Genomic DNA, 27,982 nt, shown 5'->3' on the forward strand with positions numbered 1-27,982 from the left:
ATTCATTCCTCTCCTAAATTATTGCAAGTACACACAAATATACTTCCATTCATTTAAATTTTCACAAAAATAAAATCATGGAATCGTTATAACCATTACTCCTATTAAGGGTTTATTTGTTAAATGAAATTTTGAAAAATACTTAGGACATTATAGCAGTGGGTTGAAAAATAAATACTCTAGAAGAGAGTTGCTCAACCCCACCACTGTGGACCTTTTTGGTCTGGATAACCATTGTAGGGGGCTATCCTGGGCACTGTAGGATATTTAGCAGCATCTCTGGCATCTACCCACTAGATGCCAGCAACAACCTCTATTCATGGCAGACAAATAATGTCCCCAAAGGTGCAAACCCCCAAAAACTACCTGAGTAACTATCAAGTTAGTTACCTTATCATAGAAATTTACTTTGCTCACACTAGCTCATACTTATTTAGTTAAAAATGTAAGAAAATTTTGTGCCTCTGTCAGGAAGAGCATCCAGCCTAGCTCAATGTACCTCATTTAGCATCTGGTCTGCCCTCATAAAAACAACCTCCTCTCAGTAATGCTCAACTTCCTCATTCCAAGGGATGAGGCCTATTCACTTAGCAATATAGTAAATTCCTTATTCAGAACATTAACATATGCATTACTATATATGTAATATATAGAGATACATATAGAGAAGGAGAGAGATATATATTCTCATTCTTAACCTTATGTAAAATTGTATAACTGGCAAAAAATAGCTATGTTTATATAATATGAAAATTTCTATTCTTCCTCCTCCCACCATAAAATTCTGAATAACTAAAAAAACAATAGAATTACTAGAAACCAAAATCTAAACTAGAAATAAATGTTTCCCAATATTCTGGCTTACCTCCTCTGGATACCCAAGCATCACACAGTTCTATTGGGGAAGAAAGTGAAGTCACTGTTTTTAGTTTAGGATATGTTTCTTTATATTTAGGGTTTTACCTCTTATTCTTGTAACTTCAGAATTCTGGGAGTTCAAAATTACTGTTTACAAGTAATTTGAAATCCTAAAAACAAAATCATGCCCAGTTTGTTATTCTGTATAATACCTAGTATTAAGTACTCATAAATAATATAGTGGTCTCAGAGATTAGACGATAGTAACTTGTATTAAGATTGCAAGAATAGGGTTAAGAGAAAATGGATAAAATTTGAAATATATTTTGAAATTAGTACTCATAGGGGATGGCAAAGAGCTAGGTATGTGGAAGAAATGAGAGGAAAGAATCAAGAATGGCACCCAGGATTCTGGCCTGGACAGCTAAAATAATAATATCTAATAAACAGTGGGAGTGTAACAGGATTTTTGTAGCTTCTTCTACTGGTGAGGTTTTTGCTTTTTTGAAACAGAGGTGCAATGAAGGGTTCAAGTTTATATCTGTATAAACCGAGACATCTGAGAGAGACTCAAAGAGGGGCTGTTAAATGGGCATTAGACAGATGAATCTTGATCTCCTAAGTGAAGTCTGGGATGGATATATAAAATTGAAAGTTGTGGCCAGGCACAGTGGCTCATGCCTATAATCCCAGCACTTTGGGAGGCCGAGGTGGGCGGATCACAAGGTCAGGAGTTCAAGACCAGCCTGAAGAATATGGTGAAACCCCGTCTCTTACTAAAAATACAAAAATTAGCCAGACGTGGTGGCGCACGCCTGTAATTCCAGCTACTCAGGAGGCCAAGGCAGGAGAATTGCTTGAACCCGGGAGGCAGAGATTGCAGTGAGCCGAGATCGTGCCACTGCACTCCAGCCTGAGTGACAGAGTGAGACTCCATCTCAAAAAAAAAAAAATTGAAAGTTGTAGGAATATGGTTAGTTCTATTAAATCACAGAAATGGAAGGCATCACCTAATATCAGAGTATTGAATTAGAGAGATCAAGAATGGGCTATCAGGAAGGCCAACACTTAGTGAGTAGAGAAAAAACAGCAAGCAGAGAAGGCTGAAAATAATAGTCATGAGAAAACACAGTAACCAAAGAAGTTCAAAAAGTGACAGGAGGATGACCTTTGTTTTCCAAGATAGCTGACTAAAAACATTTCCAGCACACCTCATCCACTTAGAAAAACCAAAGTGGTATGTAGACAATCACACTTTGAATACATTACCCAACAGGGAACACAGGGTTCAACAGAAAAAGTGAAAGGAAACTCCAAAATCTGGGAATGAGAAGAAAAGCAGACAGCCTGTCGTGGTCAAGACCGGCTGGGAACTGGCAATGAATCCCTAAGAGAGAGTGAGTGAGTATCTTTCTGCAGTCCACTTTCCCACTGGGGAATCATACAGTCCAGGCCACAGCAGAGCACCCTGACCCACCCAAATCCTGAATCTGATTTAGGGAGCATCCAAGAGACTGTGAGAAGGAACTGCTTCAAGGAGGCAACATGCCCTGGGTCCCACACAATTCCTGAGAACTAAGTAGCCACAGTAAGATGCGATTCTTAATCCTAGCTCTTAGCAAACTATGAGTGGTCCTGGGAATCTGCAGCACCAGTCTTGGCCATTGGGGAAGATCAGGTTGCATCTTGTGGAGCAGGGGCTTGAGCAGGAATGGGGATCAATGGGGAATCCCACAATCAAAACTAAGAAACGGACATGGCATGGGCTCCAGCCTCTGGCACTGGAACCAGGCTCCCAATGCTCCAATCCTGAGCAGGATGAGTTACTGCAGAGGCTTGGTCTTGAGCTGGGTGCTGGCTTCTATGGCTCATGGCTGAATTATGGGCTGGGTGCAAACTGCCATACTAACAGAACAGCCAGGTTGGCTGCCACAGATGGGATGAGGGAGGGACAGCAGTGGTCTCATCCTCCCTGGCACCCATGGCAGGACCTCAGCACAGCAGCAGTCACCTCTCACCCAAGCATTTCACCAGGGGCATGACGACTACACTGCCTGCCCCACCCCCACATCATGGCTCATGCACGCACTTGCCATTGGGAGGTGTTGAGTACAAGCTTGCCCAGTCTGGATCCACCCAGCTTCACCCTCCTAACCCTATGCCAACATGAACTGTGGGGGCCAGGTTCTGGGTGTTCCACAACCCAATCTACCACCAGGGGCACATGAGCACCAAGGGGACAGAGACTGAGCATAAACACCCTGCTTCTACAGTCTCAGCTGGCTCTTACCTGAAAGCACCACCTTCTGGCCTAGAAGCCAGTTTGCACAGCCTGTTGCAACCACTTCCAACACAAGAGCACAGTGCATGGGAACAAGGAGACTATCTCACCACCACTGCTACCTCTATCACCCACACTACTCCAACTGCTCAGGAGCTTGAGAGCCTGCTTATCTGCCTGGTATACTGCTACTAAAACTGGCATCTGAGGAAGCCACCCAGATGCCCAAACATGAGCCTGCCTGGAAACTGCCAACACAGGAGCCAGCATATGCTGTCCCAGGTCACAAGGATAGACATACTTAGCACACCTCTGCTACCATTACAACCTGATGATGGGCCCATCAGGCATTCCAGTCACAAGCACAACTTCACCACAGGCCCCACCAAGAACAACACATTAACAGAATAAGGATAGCCATACAAATTATACAGAGTCTTCACTACTGCATGCACCTGGAAGCAAAGCCAGAAGGCCTTACCCAACGAACATCATTGTCATATCTTCAAGAAAAAAGTCCCCCATCCACGTGAAAGTTATTTTTTTAAAAAGATGTAACTATGAAGCCAGATGAGCAGAAACCAACATAAAGATACAGAAAACATGAAAAAGCTAAGTAATATTATGGCCTCAAATGAATGTAATAATTCTCCAGCAGTAGATCCTAACCAAAAAAGAAAAAAAAATCCTCAAAATCCCAGATAAAGAATTCAAAACATTGATTTTAAAGAAGCTCAATGAGATGCCAGAGAAATCTAAAAACCAATACAAAGAACTCAGAAAATCAATTCAGAATACAAATAAAAACTTATAACATGGAGATAAATATCTTTAAAAGATAAAAAGCCCGAGTGTGGTGGCTAACACCTACAATCTCAGCACTTTGGGAGGCCGAGGTAAGAGGACTGCTTGAGCCCAGGTGTTTAGGACCAGCTTGGGCAACATAGAGAGAACCTGTCTCTACTAAAAATACAAATATTAGCTAGGCGTGGTGGCACATGCTTGTAATCCCAACTACTCAGGAAGCTGAGGCAGGAGGATCACTTGAGTCCAAAAGTTTGAGGTCATACTGAGCTATGATCACACCACTACACTCCAGCCTGGGCAAAAGAAAAAGTCTCTCTCTCTCTTTCTCTCTCTCTCTCTCTCTCACTCTCGCTCTCTACTACACTCCAGCCTGGGCAACAGAACAAGTCTCTCTCTCTCTCTCTCTCTCTCTCTCTCACACACACACACACACACACACACACACACACACATTCCGAAACTAAAGGATTCATTGAAGAAAATACAAAATACATTTGAAATACTAGATCAAGCAGAAGAAAGAATTTCAGAACTTGAAGACAGGTCTTTTGAAATAATCCAGTCAGACAAAAATAAAGAAAAAGAATGAACAAAGCTTTTTCTTTTTTTTTTTTTTTGAACTTGCTTATTGCTTTATTTTATTTTTTTATTATACTTTAAGTTCTGGGATCCACATGCAGAACATGCAGGTTTGTTACATAGGTATACATGTGCCAATTGAGACTGCATAAAATGACCAAACTTACAAATTATTGGTATTCCTGAGGGATATGAGAGATTAAAAGGCTTAGAAAGCCTATTTAACAAAATAAGAAACGAAACTTTTCCAAGTATAGCAAGATTTAGACATCCAGACACAGGAGACTCAGTGATTCCCAGGAAAACACAATGCAAAAAGGAGTTTGCCACAGCATATTATAATCAGACTGTCTAAAGTAAAAAGAATTCTAAAATCAGCAAGACAGCATTCCACCACAGCCACCATTGCAGAGCAGCAGCAATGGTTCTGTGCTACACTATGGTCGTGGGCCTCAACAAGGGCCACAAGTTGACCAAGAATTTGAGCAAGCCCAGACACAGTCGTAGCCTTGGGCGCCCGACCAAACACACCAAGTGTGTGCGGGGCATGATCCAAGAGGTATGTGGCTTCACCCCATACGAGCGGTGCACCATGGAGTTACTGAAGGTCTCCAAGGACAAACAAGCCCTCAAGTTCATCAAGAAAAGGGTGGGGACACACATCCACACCAAGAGGAAGCGGGAGGAGCTGAGCAATGTCCTGGCCATCACGAGGAAAGTTGCTGCTATGAAAGACTGAGCTCCCTGTCCTGTCCTCTCCCTGAAATAAAGAACAGCTTCACAGAAAAAATAAAATAAAATAAAATCAGCAAGAGAAAAGCACCCTGTCACCTACATAAGGAAACTCCATTAGACTAACATGAGACTTCTCACCAGAAACCTTAAAAGCCAGAAGAGAAGGGAATGACATATTAAAAATGCTGAAATAAAAAAAACCAAGACTGCCAGCCAAGAACTCAATATCCAGCAATAAGCTTCATAAATAAGAAGAAATGAAGTCTTTCAGAGACAAGCAAATGCTGAGGAATTCATCGCCACTAAACTGGCCCTACAAGAAATGCTCAAAGAAGTCCTAAACGTGGAAGTAAAAGCGATATTCATCATCATAAAAACACACAAAAGTATAAAACTCACTGGTAAAGTAATCACACAAAGGAGGAAGAAAAAGGAATCAAATGGCACCACTACAGAATTCCACCAAACCAAAGGCAAACATTCCAAGAAAAAGAAACAGAGAATTTATAAAACTAGAAAACAATTAACAATACGACAAGAACAAACCCTCACATATATCAATATAAACCTTGAAAATAAATGAATTAAATGCCCCATTTAAAAGATATAGATTGGCAAAATAGATTTTAAAAACATAATCCAACTATATGATGCTTACAAGAAACTCACATTACTTGTAAAGACACATATAGACCAAAAGTAAAGGAATAGAAAGACAGTCCACACAAACAAAATCCAAAAGTGAGCAGCACTAGCTGTACTTGCATCAATTAAATCAGATATTAAATAAAAGACGGTTAAAAAAGACAAAGAACTTCATTCTGTAATAAAGGGATCAATCTGGCAAGAGGCTATAACAATTTTAAATGTATATGCACCCAACACTGGAGCACCCAGATCCATAAAACAAATATCACTAGGCCTAAAGAGAGAGATAGACAGATACAATAATGGTGGGAGACTTCAACGCACCACTCACGGCATTAGACAGATCATCCAGGTAGGAAACCAACAAAGAAACATTAGATATAAATTGGACTTTACACCAAATGGACCTAACAAATTTACAGAACATTCTGCCCAACAACTGCAGAATATACACTCTTTCGATGAGCACATGGAACATTCTCCAAGATAAACCACGTTAGGCCATAAAACAAGTATCAACAAATGTTTAAAAATGAAATCCTATCAATTATTTTCTCATAACACAGTGGAATAAATAGAAATCAATACAAAAAGGAACTTCAGAAACGATACAAACACATGGATATTACACAAGCTCCTGAACAATCATTGGATCAAAGAAGAAATTAATACAAAAGATTAAAAATTTTTTGAAACAAATGAAAATGGAAACACAACAAACCAAAACCTGTGGGATATAGCAAAAGCAGTGGTAAGAGGGAAATTTGTAGCATTAAATGCCTATTATCAAAAAAAAGAAAGATTACAAATTATCAACCTAACAATGCATCTCAAAAAACTAGAAAATCAAGAACAAACCACACTCAAAACTAGCAGAAGAAATAACAAAGATCACAGTAGAACTAAATGAAATAGGGACCAAAGAAATACAAAGTATTAAAAAAACAAAGAGTTGATTCTTCAAAAAGATAAATAAATCTGATAAACCAGTAGCTAGACTAACCTAGAAGAGAGATGAACCAAATAAACACAATGAGAAATAAAAAAGGAAATATTTCAACTGATACCACAGAAACACAATAGATCATCAGAAACTATTATGAACAACTATATACTCAACAAACAAGAAAACCTAGAGGAAAGAGATAAATTCCTGGAAACATACAACCTACCAAGATTGAACAAGGAAGAAATAGAAAATCTAAACAGGCCAATAATGAAGAGCAAAACTGAATCAGTAGTAAAAAAAAAAAAAATCCCAATAAAGACAAGCTCAGGGATTGTTGAGGGAGCTTGGCTGAGGGATTCACAGCCAAATTCTATCAAATATAAAAAGAAGGAATACCGCTCCTCCTGAAACTGTTCCAAAAAATTGAAGAGGAGAGTATTCTCCCTAATTCTTTCCATGAGGCCACTATCACCCTAATACCAAAACTGGACGAGGACACAACAACCAAAAAAGGAAAACAGCAGACCAATATCCCTGATGAACATACATGCAAGAATCCTCAACAAAATACTAGTAAATTGAATACAGGACATCAAAAAGATAATGCACTGTATCAGTTCATTTTCATGCTGCTGATAAAGACATACCTGGGACTAGGCAATTTACAAAACAAAGAGGTTTATTGGACTTACAGTTCCAAATGGCTGGGGAGGCCTCACAATCATTGTGGAAGGCAAGCAGGAGCAAGTCACATCTTACATGAATGGTGGCAGGCAAAGAGCCTGTGTAGGGAAATTCCCGTTTTTGAAACCATCAGATGTCATGAGACTCATTCACTGTCACAAGAACAGCACAAGAAAGACCCACCCCCATGATTCAACCATCTCCCACCAGATCCCTTACACAACACATAGGAATTATGGGAGCTATAAGATGAGATCTGGGTGGGGACACAGAGCCAAACCATATCATACACCATGATCAAGTGGGTTTTATACCAAGGATGCAAAGATGGTTGAATATATGCAAATTAATAAATGTGATACATCACATAAACAAAATTAGGACAAAAAACATATGATCATCTCAATAGATGCAGAAAATGCATTTGATAAGGTTAAGCTTCCCTTCATGGTAAAAAAACCCTCAACAAACTAGGCATAGAAGGAACATACCTGAAAAAAATAAAGGCCATATACAACAAACCCATGTATCATACTGAATGGGGAAAAGCTGAAGGCCTTCCAACTAAGATCTAAAACAAGACAAAGATGCTCACTTTCACCATTGTTATTGAATATAGTACTGGAAGTCCTAGCCAGAGCAATCGGGCAAGAGAAAGAAATAAAACACATCCAAATCAAAAAAGAGGAAGTGAAAGTATCGCAGATTGCTGACGATATCATCTTATATCTAGAAAAACCTAAAGACTCCACCAAAAAACTCTTAGATTTGATAAAGTTTCAGGATACAAAAATTAACATATAAAACACAGTAGCATTTCTAAATACCAATAATGATCTCACTGAGAATGAAATCAAGAAGTCAATCCTATTTACCACACCTACCAGAAAATAAAATACCTAGGAATAAATTTAACCAAAGAGGTTAAAGATCTCTACAAGGAAAACTATAAAACACAGATGAAAGAAATTGAAGATGACAAAAACAAATGGAAAGATATCTCATGCTCATGGATCAGAAGAATTAATATTGTTAAAATGACCATACTGCCCAAAGCAATCTACAGGTTCAATGCAATCCCTACCAAAATACCAACATCATTTTTCACAGAATTAGAAAAAACAATCATAAAATTCATATAGAACCAAAAAAGAGTCCAAATAGCCAAAGCATTGGTCTTTTGCAGCAACATGGATAGAACTGAAGGTCATTATCTTAAGTGAAACAAACCAGACACAGAAAGAAAAATATCACATGTTGTCACTCACTCATTTTTTAGTGAATGCTAAAAAATGGTGTATACATAGATATAGAGAGCAGAGTGATAGACAATGGAGACTCAGAAGGGTGAGAGAGTGGGAGAGGGGTATATAATAAGAAATTACTTAATGGGTACAATGTATGTTATTTGGGTGACAGATTCTCTGAATCCCCTAACTTGACTACTATGCATGTAATAAATTTGCACTTGTATGCCATAAATTATATAAATAAATTTTTAGTGAAAAAACAAGAACAGCCACACTGGAAGACAGTCTGGTATGCTTTTACAAAGATAAATATGGTCTTAATTCAGCAATTGCAAGCCTGGGTATTTACTCAAATAAGTTCAAAACTAATGTCTACACAAAGTCTTCACACTAACATTTATAGCAGCCTTATTCATAATTGTCAAAATTTAGAAGCAAACAAGATGCATCTTTCAATAGGTTAATGGATAAACTGTGGAATATCCATACAATGGAATAGCTTCCAGGAAACAAGCTTTCAAGCCATGAAAAGAAATGGAGAGACCTTAACATATATTGCTTCTTGAAAGAAGCCAGTCTGAAATGTCTACATATGCTAGGATTCCTAGTAAATATCATTCTGGGAAGGGTAAAACTATGGTGGTAGTAGAAAGATCAATGGTTGCCATAATTTGGGAGGAAAAGAGGGAATAAGGGAAGAGGAAGAGAGTATTGGTCCATTTTCACACTGCTGTAAAGAACTACCAGAAACTGAGTAATTTATAAAGAAAAGAGGTTTAATTGACTCACAGTCCACATAGCTGGGAGGCCTCAGGAAACTTACAATCATGGCAGAAGGCAAAGGAAGAGCAAGCACCTTCTTCACAAGATGGCAGGCAGGGCAGGGGAACTGCCACACACTTATAAACCATCAGATCTTGTAAGAACTCACTCACTATCATGAGAGCAGCATGAGGGAAACCACTCTCATGATCCAATCACTTCTCACCAGGTCCCTCCCCTGACACATGGCAATTATAATTCAATATGAGACTTGAGTGGGGACACAGAGCTAAACCATATCATTCTGCCACAGCCCTTCCCAAATCTCATTTCCTTATCACACTGCAACACATTTGCAAAATTCCATCTCAACAGTCCCCAAATGTCTTAACTAATTCCAGCATTAAGTCAAAAGTCCAACTCCAAAGTCTCATCTGAGACAAGGCAAGTCCCATTTTGCCTATGAGCCTGTAAAATCAAGTTAGTTACTTCCTATATACAATGGGGGTACAGGCATTGTGTAAATACACACGTTCCAAATGGGGGAAATTGGCCAAAATCAAAGGGCCTCAGGCCCCATGCAAGTCCAAAATACAATGGGGAAGTCATTAAAGCTTAAAGTTCCAAAATAATCTTCTTTCAATCCATGCCTCACATCCAGAGCACACTGATGGAAGGGGTGGGTTCCCAAGGCCTTGCGTAGCTCTACCCTTGTGGCTCTTCAGGGTATAGCCCCCGTCGCTGGTTTCAGGGGATGGCATTGAGAGCCTGCAGCTTTTCCAGGTGCTCGGTACAAACTGTCAGTCTAGAGGTATGGAGGATAGTGGCCATCTTCTCACAGCTTCACTAGGCACTGCCCCAATGGGGACTCTGTGTGAGTCTCCAACCCCACATTTCCCCTCTACACTGCCCTAGTAGAGGTTACCCATGAGGGCTCTGGCCCTGCAGCAGACTTCTGCCTGGACGTTCAGGCATTACCATACAGCTTCTGAAATCCAGGCAGAGGTTCCCAAACCTCCACTCTTGTCTTCTAAGCACCCACAGGCCCAACACCATGTGGAGGCCACCAAAGCTTGAGGCTTGCACCCTCTGAGGCAACATTATGAGCTGTGCCTTGGCCCCTTTTAGCCACAGCTGAAGCTGGAGTGGCTGGGACACAGGGAACCATGTCATGAGGCTGCACAGAGCAGTAGGGCCCTGGGCCCAGCCCATGAAACCATTTTTCCCTCCTAGGCCTCCAGGCCTGTGATGGGAAGGGCTGTCATGAAGATCTCTGAAATGCCCTGAAGACATTTTCCCCATTCTTTTGGCAATTAACATTTGGCTCCTTTTTACTTATGCAAATTTCTGCAGCGGGCTTGAATTACTTCCCAGTAAATGGGTTTTTCTTTTCCACCATATAGGCTGCAGATTTTCCAAACTTTTATGCTTTTCTTCCTTTTTAAACATAAGTTCCAATGTCAGACCATCTCTTTGTGAATGCATATGACTGAACACTTTCAGAAACAGCCAGGTCACATCTTGAATGCTTTGCTACTTAGAAATTTCTTCTGCCAGATACCCTAAATCATGTCTCTTAAGTTCAAAGTTCCACAGATCTCTAGGGCAGGAGCAAAATGCCATCAGTCTCCTTGCTAAAGCATAGCAAGAGTGACCTTTACTTCAGTTCCCAGTAAGTTCCTCATCTCCATCTGAGACCACCTCAGCCTGGATTTCGTTGTTCATATCACTATCACATTTTGGTCATAACTATTCAACAAGTTTCTAGAGAGTTCCAAACTTTCCCATATATTCCTGTCTTCTTCTGAGCCCTCCAAACCGTTCCAACCTCTGCCCATTACCCAGTTCCAAAGTTGCTTCCATATTTTCAAGTTTCCTTATAGCAATGCCCCACTTCTTTAGTACCAATTTTCTGTATTAGTCCATTCTCACACTGCTATATAAAACCACCTGAGACTGGGTAATTTATAAAGAAAAGAGGTTTAATTGACACACAATTCTACATGGCTGGGGAGGCCTTAGGAAACCAATCATGGTGGAAGGTGAAGAAGAAGCAAGCACCTTCTTCACAAGGCAGAGGGCAGGAGGAGAATGCTACACACTTATAAACCATCAGATCTCATAAGAACTCACTATCATGGGAACAACATCGGGGAAACCACCCTCATGATCCAATCACCTCCTACCAGGTCCCTCCCCTGACACATAGTGGTTACAATTCAATATGAGATTTGGGTGGGGACCCAGAGCTAAACCATATCAAAGAGTGATTAATACATGGATCACAGAATTTTCAGGGCAGTTACACTCTTCTATGTGATACTGTGATGATGCATACATGACACATGCATTTGTCAAAACACATACAACTATACAACACAAAGACTGAATCCTAATGTACAGACTTTAATAATAAAGTATAGCTTCATCAATTTTCATCATCATCAAGTGTACCATATATTGGTTCATTAATTGTAAAAAATACATTACAAAAATGTAAGATGCTAAAAATAGGAAAACTATGAGCTGGAGAAAAGGAGTATGGGGTACCTGTACTATCTGCTCAATTTTTTTGTAAACCTAAAACTTCTGAAAAATAACATATGAAATAAAAAGTCAGCTGGGCATGGTGGCTCACGCCTGTAATCCCAGCACTTTGGGAGGCCGAGGCAGGTGAATCACAAGGTCAAGAAATCGAGACCATCCTGGCCAACATGGTGAAACCCTGTCTCTATTAAAAATACAAAAAATTAGCCAGGCATAGTGGCAAGCACCTATAATCCCAGCTACTTGGGAGGCTGAGGCAGGAAAATCACTTGAACCTGGGAGGCGGAGGTTGCAGTGAGCCGAGATCACGCCATTGCACTTCAGCCTGGGCAAAAAGAGCAAAACTCTGTCTCACAAAAAAAAATGCAAAAAAAAATGAAATAAAAAGGCAAATAAACTACCAAAAAGGGACAGAAAAATATACTAAAACATCAGTATTAATAACAAGAATAATTTAATGATTTAAATAATATCAAGACATTACTAATCTACACATTTTTCATGCTTCTTTATGTTCGTTCCCCTCCAAATAAAAGATTATTTAGTTAAATTACAAAGTAATATTAGAAGCTCCCTCAGGGAATTTAATTAAATGTGCATTCATAAACTATTTTCTGGATGATTTCATGTATTTATTTAGTAAACACCACTTAAAATTATAATTATTATTCTAATTTAATGGAGTTAAATAAAGAATAATAAATCTTGCTGGGAACAGGCCCCCAAATCTGGCCATGAACTGGCCCCAAAACTGGCCATAAACAAAATCTCTGCAGCACTGTGACATGTTTGTGATGGCATTGACGCCCACACTGGAAGGTTGTGGGTTTACCGGAATGAGGGCAAGGAACACCTGGCCCACCCAGGGCAGACAACCGCTTAAAGGTGTTCCTGAACCACAAACAATAGCATGAGCGATCTGTGCCTGAAGGAGATGCTCCTATCGCAGGTAACTAGCCAGACCCACCCCTTTATTTCAGCCCATCCCTTTGTTTCCCATAAGGAATACTTTTAGTTAATCTATAATCTATAGAAACAATGCTTATCACTGGCTTGCTGTCAGTAAATATGCAGGTAAATCTCTGTTCAAGACTCTCAGCTCTGAAGGCTGTGAGACCCCTGATTTCCCACTCCACACTCTATATTTCTGTGTGTGTGTCTTTAATTCCTCTAGCGCCGCTGGGTTAGGGTCTCCACAACTGAGCTGGTCTCAGCAAAATCTAATTCTTAGGTGTTTCAGATTTAAAATCAGTATAAACATCCTAAGCATTGGGTAAATACAATAACAGTGCCAAAAAAAAAAAAAAACTCAACCTTGGAAAGAAAAATGGGAAATAACATAAAACTATTTGTATCTTAATTTCTTGAACTATCTCACACTAACAGCATCTCATATTTTCCATCAAAAAAGTGAAGATTAACTTTTATATAGCTATAATTAATAAAATTTAAACTGATTTAAAATGTTTATCTTGTGATATACAATAAAGGAGCTTTTTAAACATTAAAAATCAATTAACATGTATACTAGGGCAACTAGAAAAATAAAATATGACTAATAATGAACAAATAATTGAGAAATACATGCAAAACTGGTATTTTAACTGAGTTCCAGCAAAAAATTAAATAAATAAAAATTCCACCTAAAAATCGGGGGAAAAAAAAACAGCTGGGTGCAGTCGGTGGCTCATGCCTGTAATCCCAACACTTTGGGAGGCCCAGGTGGGAGGATCATTTGAGCCCAGGTGTTCCAGACCAGCCTGGGCAATATGGCGAAACCCTATCTCTACAAAAAAATACAAAAAGTAGCTGGGCATGGTGCATGCCTGTAGTTCCAGCTACTCGGGAGGCTAAGAGGTGGGAGGATGGTTTGAGCCCAGGAGGTTGAGGCTGCAGTGAGCCATGATCATGCCACTGCACTCATGCCTGGGTGACAGTGAGACCCTGTCTTTTTCAAAAAATAAAAATAAATAAAAATCGGAAAACTGCTCACTTATTCCTCCGTGGGAGATTCACTTCACAACAATTTCAAAGCCTACCTTCTTAGGCAACAAACAGCACTTGGGAAAAGACAATTATAAAAATGGTTCACCTTTTCCACATAAAAAAGGACATTAAAATGTGTATTTATCTTCCTGTTGTAGGCTGAATGGTGGCCCTCAAAGATATCAGACCCTAATTCTGGAATCTGTGAGTGTTATCTTATATGCTAAAGGTTTTACAGATGTAATTAAGAGTCTTGTGATGAGATTAGCCTGCATCATCCATGTGGACCCTAAATGCCATCACAGGTATCCTTATAAGAGGAAAGCAGAGGGTAAACCAGACAGACTGAAGAGGGGGCCATGTGGAGAAGGAGGCAGCCACTGGAATAATTGTGCCACACAATGCCAGTAGCCATCAGAAGCTGGAAGAAGCAAGGAATGGATTCTCCCCTAGAGCCTCCCCATAGGGAGTGCGGCCCTGCCAAAACCTTGATTTTAGCTCAATTAAATTTGTTTCTAACTTTCAGTCTCCAAACCTGTGAGAGACTAATTTTCTTTTTTTTAAACTATTAAGTTTGTGATAATTTGTTATGGCAGGCACAAGAAACTAATATATACCATAATGATAGTTTATTGGAATTAATAAGAGAATGATTGTAAATATTTTTTAATTACATAGCTGTGTATTTTTTTCTTGTGCAGTATCGATATCTCAGTTAATTAGCATCCAAAGGGATAAGCACCTTTATAACCACTAAGCTGTTTTTCTTGTCTCATTTTTAATCATAAAATCCAGTATTGGCAGTAAATCAACAGTAGACAGATTGCTGTGTCCTGTTTCCTGCCTTCCTTCAAGACATTCCTTGTAAAACTGCTGGCAGTCTATTAGAGATCTTGGTCAATAATCTTAAGTAACCCAATCTAAATTATGTTCTGTATCACTCTTGAGCTTCAGAGGTCAAGGAAGCTAGAGAAGAAGGAGAGGAGTCAGATGGAATGGAAATCTGCTGTCTCCCAAGCTGCACCCACAGAGCCACAGATTGGTCTATCTGCGGCCCATTGAAATTCCTGGCCCACTGGCTACCATTTCTGCCAAATATACAAAATGACTTTCAGAAATTATACTATTATACTATACTAATTATAGTCTTAGTCTTATCTTATTCAGTGTATAAACGGGTAGAGAGAGTTTTTTGCACAAATTGTTAAACTTAAGTTTAAGTGCTGTTTAATAATATAGATTACCATAGTCTCTCCTTTTAAAAAAATCCTAGGTAATATTTGAAAGCCTGACACACTTTTATCTCTGGCCCTAAAAATGCCATCACGTGTATCCTTATAAGAGGAAAGCAGAGGGAAATTAAACAGACACATTAAGGAGAGGGCCATGTGATTTTTACCTCTGATAAAATTCCTAATAATGAAGTGTGCTGTTTGAACACATCTTCATCATTAGAGTAATCACCATAGAATTGTCTGCTTGAAGGAACATGGGAGTTAATGGAGAAATAACTTGAAATCAGAACTCTAAATTCACATCAAGAATAACCTAAGTGGAATTGAGGCAAATATTATACACATACACCCTATATGCTAGATCACAGTACTGTGCACTTTGCATAGATTATTTCTAATCCTTTTAACAATTTTGTAAGCTAGTTACTGTTTCTCATTTAACATACTGATATGGTCTGGCTGTGTCCTCACCAAAATCTCATCTTGAATTCCCACGTGTTGTGGGAGGGACCTGGTGGGAGTTAATTGAATCACAGGGGCAAGTCTTTCCCATGCTTTTCTCATGATAGTGAATAAGTCTCACAAGATCTGATGGTTTTAAAAAGGGGAGGTTCCCTGCACAAGCTCTATTCTCTTGTCTGCCACTATGTGAGATGTGCCTTTTACCTTCCACCATGACTGTGAGGTTTCCCCAGCCACATGGAACTGTAAGTCCAATAAACCTCTTTCTTTTGTAAATTGCCCAGTCTTGGGTATGTCTTTATCTGTAGCATGAAAATGAACTAATACAGTAAATTGGTACCAGTAGAGTGGGGCACTGCTGAAAAGATACCCAAAAATGTGGAAGTGACTTTGGAACTGGGTAATAGGCAGAAGTTGGAACAGTTCAGAGGGCTCAGAAGAAGGCAGGAAAATGTGGGAAAGTTTGGAACTCCCTAGAAACCTGTTGAATGGTTTTGACCAAAATGCTAATAATGATATGGACAATGAAACCCAGGCTGAGGTGATCTCAGATGGAGATGAGGAACTTGTTGGGAACTGGAGCAAAGGTGACACTCTTGTTTTGTTTTAGCAAAGAGACTGGTGGCATTTTGCCCCTGCCCTAGAGATCTGTGGAACTTTGAACTTGAGAGAGATGATTTAGAGTATCTGGTGGAAGAAATTTCTAGGCAGCAAAGCATTCAAGAGGTGACTTAGGTGCCGTTAAAAGCACTCAGTTTTAAAAGGGAAACAGCATAAAAGTTTGGAAAATTTGCACCCTGACAATGTGATAGAAAAGAAAATCCCATTTTCTGAGGAGAAATACAAGCTGGCTACAGAAATTTGCATAAGTATCCAGGACCCGAATGTTAATCCCCAAGAAAATGGGGAAAATGTCTCCAGGGCATGTCAGAGGTCTTCACAGCAGCCCCTCCCATCACAGGACTGAAGGCCTAGGATGAAAAAATGGTTTCGTGGGCCAGTCCCAGGGCCCCTGTGTGGTGTGCAGGCTAGGGACTTGTTGCCCTGTGTCCCAGCCACTCCAGGCATGACTATAAGGGGCCAAGGTACAGCTTGGGCCGTGGCTTCAGAGGGTGCAAGCCCCAAGCCTTGGCAGCTTCCATGTGGTGCTGAGCCTGCAGGTGCACAGAAGTCAAGAATTGAGGTTTGGGAACCTCTGGCTAGATTTTAGAGAATGTATGGAAATGCCTGTATGTCCAGGCAGAACTTTGCTGCAGGGGCAGGGACCTCATGGACAACCTGTGCTAGGGCAGTGCAGAAAGGAAATGTGGGGTCAGAGGCCCCACACAAAGTCCCCACTGGGGCACGGCCTAGTGGAGATGTGAGAAGAGGGCCACCATCCTCCAGACCCCACAATGGTAGATCCACCGACAGCTTGCACCATGCACCTGGAAAGGCCACAGACACTCAGTGCCAGCTTATGAAAGCAGCCAGGAGGGAGGCTGTACCCTGCTAAGCCACAAAGGCGGAGCTGCTCAAGACCATAGGAACCTACCTCTTGCATCAGCGTGACCTGGATGTGAGACATGGAGTCAAAGGAGATCATTCTGGAGCTTTAAGATTTGACTCCCCCACTGGATTTCAAACTTGCACAAGGCCTGTAACCCCTTAGTTTTGGCCAAATTCTCCCATTTGGAATGGCTGTATTTACCCGATGCCTGTATCCCCATTGTATCTAGGAAGTAACTAACTTGCTTTTCATTTTACAGGCTCATAGCCGAAAGGGTCTTGCCTTGTCTCAGGTGAGACTTTGGACTGTGGACTTTTGAGTTAATGCTGAAATGAGTTAAGACTTTGTGTGACTGTTGGGAAGGTATGATTGGTTTTGAAATGTGAGGACATGAGATTTGGGAGGAGTCAAGGGCAGAATTATATGGTTTGGCCGTGTTCTCACTCAAATCTCATCTTGAATTCCCATGTGTTGTGGGAGGGAACTGGTGGGAAATAATTGAATCATAGGGGCAGGTATTTCCCGTGCTGTTCTCATGATAGTGAGTAAGTCTCATTAGATCTGCTGGTTTTAAAAAGGGGAGGTTCCCTGCACAAGCTCTCTTCTCTTGTCTGCCACCATGTGACAAGTGCCTTTCACCTTCTGCCATGATTGTGAAGCCTCCCCAGCCACGTGGAACTGTAAGTCCAACAAATTTCTTTCTTTTGTAAATTGCCCAGTCTCGGGTATGTCTTTATCAGCAGCGTGAAAACAGACTAATACACATATGAAGCAAAGATAGACTGAATGACATGCCTTCCCAAAGGTAAAAAAAATGAAAAGCTAGTAATAACTGACAGCACTGGGGTTCCAAACTCATGTGTCTTCAAAGCCTATGTTCTATGTGTGATTTTCCACTCCTTTAACACACTACTGTGGCCTTCTGTCCCACATCTCAAATATTCTGTCCCACTGCAACCACACACCAGGGTCAGAAGAATTCTAAATCTAACAACATCCACACACCCCCCCAAGATTGCTTCTTGCAATAGGAGGCAGAATGTAAATCTTACTTCTAGGTTCAATTTTTGTTTTAGAGAATAATGAACACCATTATAAAGCCCTCAGCTTTTCCCAATTTACCAATTCAAAATTGTTTCATCTGAGATGACACACAGCTTTCTTGGCCCCTTAAAGAGATGGGCTCTTATTACTTTTCAATATTTTTAACCAATTCAATAAACAAGGATTAAAGAAAATTAGTCAAACAAATTTTGTCTAAAGGAGGATAACATCTTATAGCCAAAAGCATTGTGCTGAGTACCTGTCAAGAACTCTGAAGGGTCGGATTTTGCCCTACTTGTAAGCCAGTATGTTAGCCTAACACTGTTGTATAGATGCTAGCAGAAGACATGAGACTCCCGTGTGAGAGACAGAGGCCTTTATTGCTCACAGCACAGCAAATGGCATGAACAGTATATTTGGGTCAGTTCCCCGTACTCCCCAAAATCTCATGGGGGCAACACTGATGGGCCCAGATGGATGCATGCACATGCAGTATTATCACATTATAGGAAAGGAACCTGAGCTGAGGGAACCCAAATCTTTTATCATAGTAAGCATGCCTGCCTTTTATTCTAAGGGAGACATTATCTTTATTTTATTCAACATTAAGCATGATTATCTTTTGCTTTGGAGAGAAATACTATCTAATTTGTCCAAGGATGCAAGCAAATCTGCCCTTTGCTTTGGTTTGTTTCTGTTTTCTTTGTTTGCTTTTTAAGACAGTATCTTGCTTTGTCGCCCAGGCTGGAGTGCAGTGGTGTGATCACAGCTCACGGCAGCCTTGACCTCCCAGGCTAAAGCAGTGCTATTGCCTCAGCCTCCTAAGTAGCTGGGACTACAAGCATGCACCACCAAGCTTGGCTATTTTTTTTAAGAGACAGGGTCTTGGGTGGGGGCAGTGGCTCATATCTACAATCCCAACACTTTGGGAGGCCGAGGAGGGTGGATTGCTTGAGTCTAGGAGCTTGAGACCAGCCTGGGCAACATGGCAAAACCCCATTTCTACAAAAAATACAAAAAAATAGCCGAGTGTAGTGGCATGGACCTATAGTCCCAGCTACTTCGGAGGCTGAGGCAGGAGGATCACCTGAGCCTGGGGAGGTTGAGGCTGTGGTGAGCCGATTGTGCCACTGCACTCCAGCCTGGGAGACAGAGCAAGACCTTGTCTCATAAAAAAAAAAAGGACAGGGTCTTGCTATGTTGCCCAGGCTGGTCTCAAACTCCTGGGCTCAAGCAATCCTCCTGCCTTGGCCTCCTAGAGTGTTGGGATTACAGGTGTGAGCCACTGCGTCCAGTCTGCACTTTGTTTTGAAGGCAAACAGTAGGTTTATCTTGCAAAGCTGTTCACTGTACCAACATCATTGAAAATAAAGTTCAGAACACAGGGCAGTTAGTGTCTCACTTGTAAGATGCGCAGAAACATGAAGCCATGGTGAACTGTCTTTGAACAGTACCATTCCTTTTCCAGCAGGGCTTAGAAGTTGCAGCCTAACCACGGAAAACATACAAGGTAAAATATTCAAATATCTTAATATCAAATTATCTGTCGTCCTGCATTTCCAGAGTCTGTGATAGAGGCAAGCAAATTCTGATCCTCACCTTCCAAGCCTCATTCTCCATATTTGCCAGGTAGCATCCTGACTTGACTCACAGCCTTTATCATCCATTTGACAAAATTCCATTAAACATTAACTATAAACTAAGCATGAGATGTTAGGGTAAATCAAAAGCTCAACCAGACACCAACTCTAGGTAATATCAATTCTTATTCCACTCCAACACCAAATAATACCTGCTTAGATAGTAACACTTCAGTGAAAGAATGCAAAAAGAATCACCTCCATTTAGTTCTACTAAAATTGTAGTTTCTATAATATAAAGCTCTTGGGGCTAGACCAATACAGCATCATCCTTGGGGTATGTCTCAAAGTTCACAGAAGTCTTACTGACTAAAAAAGAGGGGAGATGAACACTAGACTTGATCTGAACTGCATTTCTGAATCTACTACTACCTATTAAATAGTGCCAAAATCACTTAATTCCTATTTCAGAGCTATTGGTAATGACTAAATATTCTGCAACAACCTAAAATCCCTAGAAGAAATAATCAATAGAAATGAAGGGAAAATTGTCAACTTGTACATAATGATAGGTAATGTTCATAAAGATAGAAAATAAAATGATGGAAATTAGACCATTATATTCATTTCTTGTAACATAAAAAATATATAGCAGAAATATGTCTTCAGGAGAGTGCATAAAATCAGCCAACTCAGATACTTATTTCCTAACATGAAAATGAAAAAATTAAATGTTCTCTGTTCTTTGGTAACTATTATTACTCAAATTTGAGCACAATTACAGTATGTAAAATCTGATTAATATGTTCTCAAATGTTAGCAATTCCTCATCTATTTTTCTATCTAAAAGAACTGTTAAGACTAGAAACAAAAGCAGCAAGAAAACAGAAGGCACCACAGCTGTCTGTCGGATGCAAGGATGGAAAGTGTCTTTGAAGTATTAGAGACTGATACTGGATGGAGCCTGATGGGAAATGACAACCCCATGGCTCTGGCATCTGCCTCAACAGATGCCCTCTGCAAAGACAGGTGATTTCTTGATTCAGTATTCCCTAGAAGGGTGTTGTGCAGGACAAAATAATGAACAGTCTATAACACTGAGACCTTGTTGAACAAGTAAGATGTATGGATTACAGAATTTCTAAGCTACTCCATGATGAATTAAAATTTTAACCATAAGTGCAGCAGAGAGAAAAAAACAACTTGTAGACATTGGAAAAAATGAAGGAAAAAAATGCTTCAAAGTTAACAATTATGATAAACAATAACAAGGAGATCTCACCGACCTGAAGCAACCAGTAATGAAAGGCTCATTTTCAGCACAGGAACCTTGAGAAGCAAAGGTGCAAACAAAAACAGATATTGCAAGGGGAAACCACAGCTGCTAACCAGAGGGCAGATACGTGCATGCTCAGTAAGGAAAGGACTGTGAGTCTCGCAACAATTAAGCCACATGGAAAGACAAGACCTTATTTAAAAGAAGAGGGAGGGGCAGCTCTATGCAGTTATCTGTAGGAAATTCTAGTAAGTTTTTCAGTTTCACCAAGAAATAATGACTAATGAATCACTGTAACAGCATTCAAACATCAAAGAGATATTTAAGAATGGCACTATACTTCAACCATTATAAAATGTATTATAAATTTGTCATTTCAAATCAATGTAGTATTACTTATTAAATGGCTATTGAATAACTATATTTTCAAGACAAATACTATTGCTTTATCACATAACTTTTACTAAAATAAAATCCAGATGGAAGAAAAAGATAAACATGAAAATGAAGCTTTAAGAAAAACATTATAGTGACTAGTCACCTAATATTAGAATGGGGAAGGAGTTTCAAAGTGTTAATATAAAGAAAGAATTCACACATGAAAGATTTCTAGGTTAAGTTACATAAAAAGAAGGAAAAACTTCAGTCTATCAAAAAGCAAAAAGATACCAACAACTCATAGATAAAACCTGGGCCAAGGACATAAACAGTTTCAAAATGAAAACTATCAACGACCAAGACGCATATGAAAATATCTTCAACCTCACTGTAATCAAAATAAACGTAAAAATTATGATAACATAATTTGGCCAGGTGCAGTGGCTCACGTCTGTATTCTCAGCACTTTGGGAGGTCAATGCCGGAGGATCACTTGAGGTCAGGAGTTCAAGACCACACTAGCCAACGTGATGAAACCCCGTCTCTACTAAAAATACAAAAAATAAAAATAAAAAATTAGCCAAGTGAGGTGCCGTGTGCCTGTAGTCCCAGCTACCCAGGAGGCTAAGGCAGGAGAATCACTTGAACCCAGGAGACAGAGGTTGTAGTGAGCCAAGATCGCACCACAAAACTCTAGCCTGGGTGACATGGGTGACAGAGCAAGACTCCATCTCAAAAAAAAAAAAAAAAAAAAAACATAATTCATTAATCAAATTTAAAGGTTTTAAAACTATCACTTGGTGTTGGCAAGGCTATTTTGAATTAGGCACTTCCATACATCATTGGTGGGAATACAAAATGAGGTAACTTCTCTGAAGTGCAATTTGGCAAAGTGAATCAAGGTCCTTAAAACTGTTCATAATAATTGATCCAATAATTCAATTAATAGCAATTTTTGATTGAAACCTAATAGAGATATGTAAAAAATATGCATATTTCAGGATTATTTAAAATAGTAAAAATTAGAAACAACTTAAATGTCCAACAATAAGATAAAGGCTAAACAAATTTTTATATCTTTAACATGGAATATCCTGTAGCCTTTAAAAATCATATTATAGACTCGATTCCTTAGTATGGAAATATGCTCACAGTATAATAACTAGAGTATTTAAAATGTAAAACTATATACACCAAGTGCAGCAATAGTTTTCTTTAAAGACCATACATAAATTTATAAAGACCTACAGGTATGTGCAAGATGATGAGTGTTGGGAATATAAAGGAAATATACCAAAATATTAATGTTTATTCAAGGTTGCTGGAATGAGAAGCAATTTGTATTTTTTTCCCTATGCTTCTATTTTCCAAATGTTCTACAATAAGCAAGCACCGCTTTTGTTGTATGCATACAAATGGCCAAGAAGCATATGAAAAAATGAAAAATATGAAATGAAGAAATACTCAACATCACTAAGCATCAGAGAAATGCAAATTAAAACAGACAAAATTTTGAGACAGCCAATGTACCACCCTACACCAGTCAGAATGGCTATTACTAAAAAGTCAAAAAATAACAGTTGGTGAGGATATGGAGAAAGGAGAACGCTTATATATTGTTAGTGAGAATGTAAATTAGTACAACCCCTGGGGAAAACAGTATGACGATTTGTCAAAGAACTAAAAATAGAACTACCATTCCATCTGGCAATCCCACTATTAGGTATCTACCCAAAAGAAAAGAAATCATCCTCTTTTTCCAGCTGGAACCATGGAGGGTGTAGAAGAGAAGATGAAGAAGGTTCCTGCTGTGCCAGAAACCCTTAAGAAAAAGTAAAGGAATTTTACAGAACTGAAGATCAAGTGCCTGAGAAAGAAGTTTGCCCAAAACATACTTCAAAAGGCAAGGAGGAAGGTTATCTATGAAAAAGCGAAGCACTATCACAACGAATATAGGCAGATGTACAGAACTGAATTTCGAATGGCGAGGATGGCAAGAAAACCTGGCAACTTCTATGTACCTGCAGAACCCTGAGACTCAGAAATGTAGGAAGGTAGGAGCGGGTTGAGGGGTGAGAAACTACCTAATGGGTATAATGTACGCTATTCGAGTGATGGTTACACTAATAGTCTAGACTTCATCACTATGTAATATATCCATGTAACAAAACTACACTTGTACCCCCAAACTCATAACAATTTTTTTATTATACTTTAAGTTCTGGGATACATGGGCAGAACGTGCAGGTTTGTTACATAGGTATACAAGTGCCATGGTGGTTTGCAGCACCCATCAACCCATCATCTACATTAGGTATTTCTCCTAATGCTATCCCTCCCCTGGCCTCCCACCCCACAACAGGCCCCAGTGTGTGATGTTCCCCTCCCTGTGTCCATGTGTTCTCATTGTTCAACTCCCACTTATGAGTGGGAACGTGCAGTGTTTGGTTTTCTGTTCCTGTGTTACTTTGCTGAGAATGATGGTTTCCAGCTTCATCCATGTTCCTGCAAAGGACATGAACTCATCCTTTTTTATGGCTATATAGTATTCCATGGTATATATGTGCCACATTTTCTTTATCCAATCTATCACTGATGGACATTTGGATTGGTTCCAAGTCTTTGCTATTGTGAACAGTGCTGCAATAAACGTACGTGTGCATGTCTCTTTATAGTAGAATGATTTATAATGCTTCGGTTATATACCCAGTAATGGGATTGCTGGGTCAAATGGTATTTCTGGTTCTAGATCCTTGAGGAATTGCCACACTGTCTTCCACAATGGTTGAACTAATTTACACTCCCACCAACAGTGTAAAAGTGTTCCTATTTCTCCACATCCTCTCCAGCATCTGCTGTTTCCTGACTTTTTAATGATCACCATTCTAACTGGCATGAAATGGTATCTCATTGTGGTTTTGATTTGCATTTCTCTAATGACCTGTGATGATGAACTTTTTTTCTTATGTTTGTTGGCTGCATAAATGTCTTCTTTTGAGAAGTGTCTGTTCATATCCTTCGCTCAGTTTTTGATGGGGTTGCAGTGAGCCAAGATTGGACCACTGCACTCCAGCCTGGGCAACAGAGGGAGCCCCCGTCTCAAAGAATAAAAAAGTTAATTAATTAATTAATTCAACAAAATCATGCTTTCATGTAACATTTTTTAAACCAAAAAAAACCCCTAATATCTGAATTGTTATGATTATTCTGATTAATGAAGTAACCAATGGCAAAACATGTATCTTAACCATGTCTAGTACATCAGAATTGATGATGTTCAATTAGTTTTGAGGCAGGAGTATAGGATCTGGAGGCAGGGCCGTTTCACGCTGACTTCCTAGAACTAAACTGAAAGGAAAACCCTAACTTTCCACACCTAAGTAACAAAAGGACCAGAGACTAGCCCCTTGGCAAACCCCCACTATTTCTGCATGGCAGATGGGAAATAGAAAGTACCTCTGATTGGTTGCTTTCTGTAACCAATCAGACTTTTGCATAGGCGTATAACTTTGTAACTTCAGCCTCTGATTGTTTGTTTTTTGCAACCAATCAGACTGATTGCACGCCAAGTCTTCGTTAACATAGCAGTGCAGCTTTGTAACTTCACTTTAGGCTCTGTTTCATCGCTTTCTGCAACCAATCAGATTGATTGCAGGCCATCACTTCATTTATATGAGGTAAACACAAAGTGGCCAATGGGAATCCTCTAGCAGGGTATTTGGACCCAAGAACATTCTGTATCGGGGCTGTGAGAGGCTGCTCGGCCTGCTGCCACCCTGTAGAGTGTACTTTCCCTTTCGATAAATCTCAGCTTTTGCTGCTTCATTCTTTCCTTGCTTTGTGCATTTTGTCCAATTCTTTGTTCAAAACACCAAGAACCTGGACACCCTCCACTGGCAACAGTTTGACTTTGATCTTTCTGCCTAGGTCAAGGTCAACCAGCCACTGAAAATCAGGTAGATCTGTGTATACAATATACATTTTATTTGCATGTTAAGATACCTTAGTACCTTTCTACTGCATGAGAAAGGAAAGTCTAATATAATACGAGAAAGGTCTGCATCCAACTGACTCTCCAGGACAACTTAAGCAGGCTTCAGATTGCAAAACAAAAGTAGTCCTTGAGAAGAGAGGAAGAAAAAAGAAAACCAAGTGCAGGCCACTGTACTAAACAAAACTAATTGCTTTATCTTTGATTTATTCAGATTAAGACTAATTTTATAGCTGCATGCTGTACCCCCTAAAATAATACTGTATTTACAGAGCAAGGACCATCCTTACCTGAGCTATTTGATAGCAAAGCACTAACCACTGAATCCTGAAATTAAAAGCAATTTACAATAAATTGACCAATTAAAAAGTAATGACAAATTCCACAAACTGGAAAAAAAAAAAATCCCATTTGTTTACATTAAGTGGTCAAGCAGCCCCTACACATCAGCACGGCGGCAGCTGCCAGTAAGACAAGACCAAATGGATTCAGATGGTTTATTACTAACACAGGCAGAGAAGGCATGATCAGTATGGTATCAGCTCCCCATGTCCCTAGTCCTACAAGAGAAACCCAAACTGGAGGGACTAAATGAAAGACAACACACACAGTGGGTTGCTCTGTTGTTGAGGAGTCAATTCTAGACTGCAGCTATGTCATTTTATAGTCACAACTGTGCCTGAAGGAAACTCCCATGCCTTACCAAAATGAAAATAGGAGATAATAAGCTGCCTTGAGGCCGCCTCCTGTAAGATACAGAGGTGGATAGGAAATGGCCTTGTGACAGCTCCTCACAAGTCTATCTTACCATGTATCAAGGAGGATCACAGAGTATTCCCCCAAGACTTGAGACAGATTGTGGTTGAGCCTTGCCTATGTGGCCTATGTGGGTACATGCAAGATCACCAAGGCACCATGGCAGAGGCATTGTCCTACACACAAATAGTATAGGAAGTCAGTATATAAAATTGTCACACTCTTTCCCATAAAGTTTAAAAATTTGAGAAGCATCTATTATAAACTATTTCAGAGAGTCATAGCATTGAACCAAACACTGTCGAGAATTTATATAGAGAATGCATTATCTGTCCTAAAGAAGTTTAAATTTCTCTGGGGAGAAAGCAATGTAAAGCCAGGAGCACAATTACACCTGGTTGTTTATTAATATTAAACAGTAACTTAAACATCTAATGATAGAGGAATGGTTAAATAAGTTATGGTGCATCCATACATTTTTCTTCAGTGGAATGGTGGCATAAGGAAAACTTTCTGAAAGAACAATGTAGAAGAAGAGTATACAATAGACTACAATGGAAAGATGTTTAAGGCAACAATATTATATTGATAAATGTGAGAAAGTTTAGTCATTCATTAAGTGATGAGGCTTTTTGCAAGAGAAGAAGCAGTGAATACAGAGAGCTGTTGTGAGTGCCTTTAAGCTCTGATCCTACTAAGGATGATAAACTTCGTAACTGAAAGGTAGCAGATCCTGGGATCTTAACTTTGCACATGGCTAATGGAGGAGAGCAGACAGTAAGAGGACAAAGTAAGACCAAGACATGCTAAAACACAATTTTAAACAATTCAGAGCTATACTACCGAGAAAACTCCTAAACCTAATCATGAAATGTCCATTTATCTCTAAATTTTTCCTGGACTTCATCTACAAACGTGATTTTCAAAATAGAATTTGTTAAAAGAACATATTAATCCTCAAAACATTTTGTAATGTAGTATTTTCAATGTCAATCTTATTTAACATCATAAACAGTACTTTCAAATCAATTTTAATGAAGCGCTAACCTAAATATTTTTAAACGGCCAGCTACTCTAAAATAAAAACATATCTAGCGGCATAGTATAAGAATATATAAAAACCGGCCAGGCGCAGTGGCTCACGCCTGTAATCCCAGCACTTTGGGAGGCCGAGGCGGGTGGATCACGAGGTCAGGAGATCGAGACCATGGTGAAACCCTGTCTCTACTAAAAATACAAAAAAAATTAGCTGGGCGTGGTGGCGGGCACCTGTAGTCCCAGCTACTCGGGAGGCTGAGGCAGGAGAATGGCGTGAACCTGGGAGGCAGAGCTTGCAGTAAGCCGAGATCACGCCACTGCACTCCAGTCTGGGCAACAGAGCAAGACTCCATCTTAACAAAAAAAAAAAAAAAAAAAAAAAAAAAAAAAATATATATATATATATATATATATATATATATATAAACTACAGCAAATTTCCAAACTGTTAAAGTTTAATACTCATATATCTGCTTATGAAGCAATAACAAGATATGTCTTTTTTCTAATTTTTTTCATTTTTAAAAATAACAAAACAATAAAAACAAAAATCAGGAAAACAATGAGGGGTTCAGATATACACCCTGAAGAACAGGGTATATATTTATGAAGTAGTGGAAAACACAGAGGAAAACCAAAGGGACAAA

The 27,982-nt window shown here is 39.5% G+C and overlaps 1 protein-coding gene and 1 pseudogene across 4 annotated transcripts in view; one reads left to right on the top strand and one right to left on the bottom strand.

Annotated features, from left to right (window-relative positions):
* Positions 1-27,982, bottom strand: part of LRCH2 (leucine rich repeats and calponin homology domain containing 2) — a 123,481-nt gene that overhangs the window by 82,870 nt on the left and 12,629 nt on the right. The window lies entirely within an intron of this gene.
* On the top strand, positions 4,914-5,311 carry RPL36P18 (ribosomal protein L36 pseudogene 18; annotated as a pseudogene).

Source organism: Homo sapiens, chromosome X, assembly GCF_000001405.40.
Source record: "Homo sapiens chromosome X, GRCh38.p14 Primary Assembly".
Taxonomy (NCBI): Eukaryota; Metazoa; Chordata; class Mammalia; order Primates; family Hominidae; genus Homo; species Homo sapiens.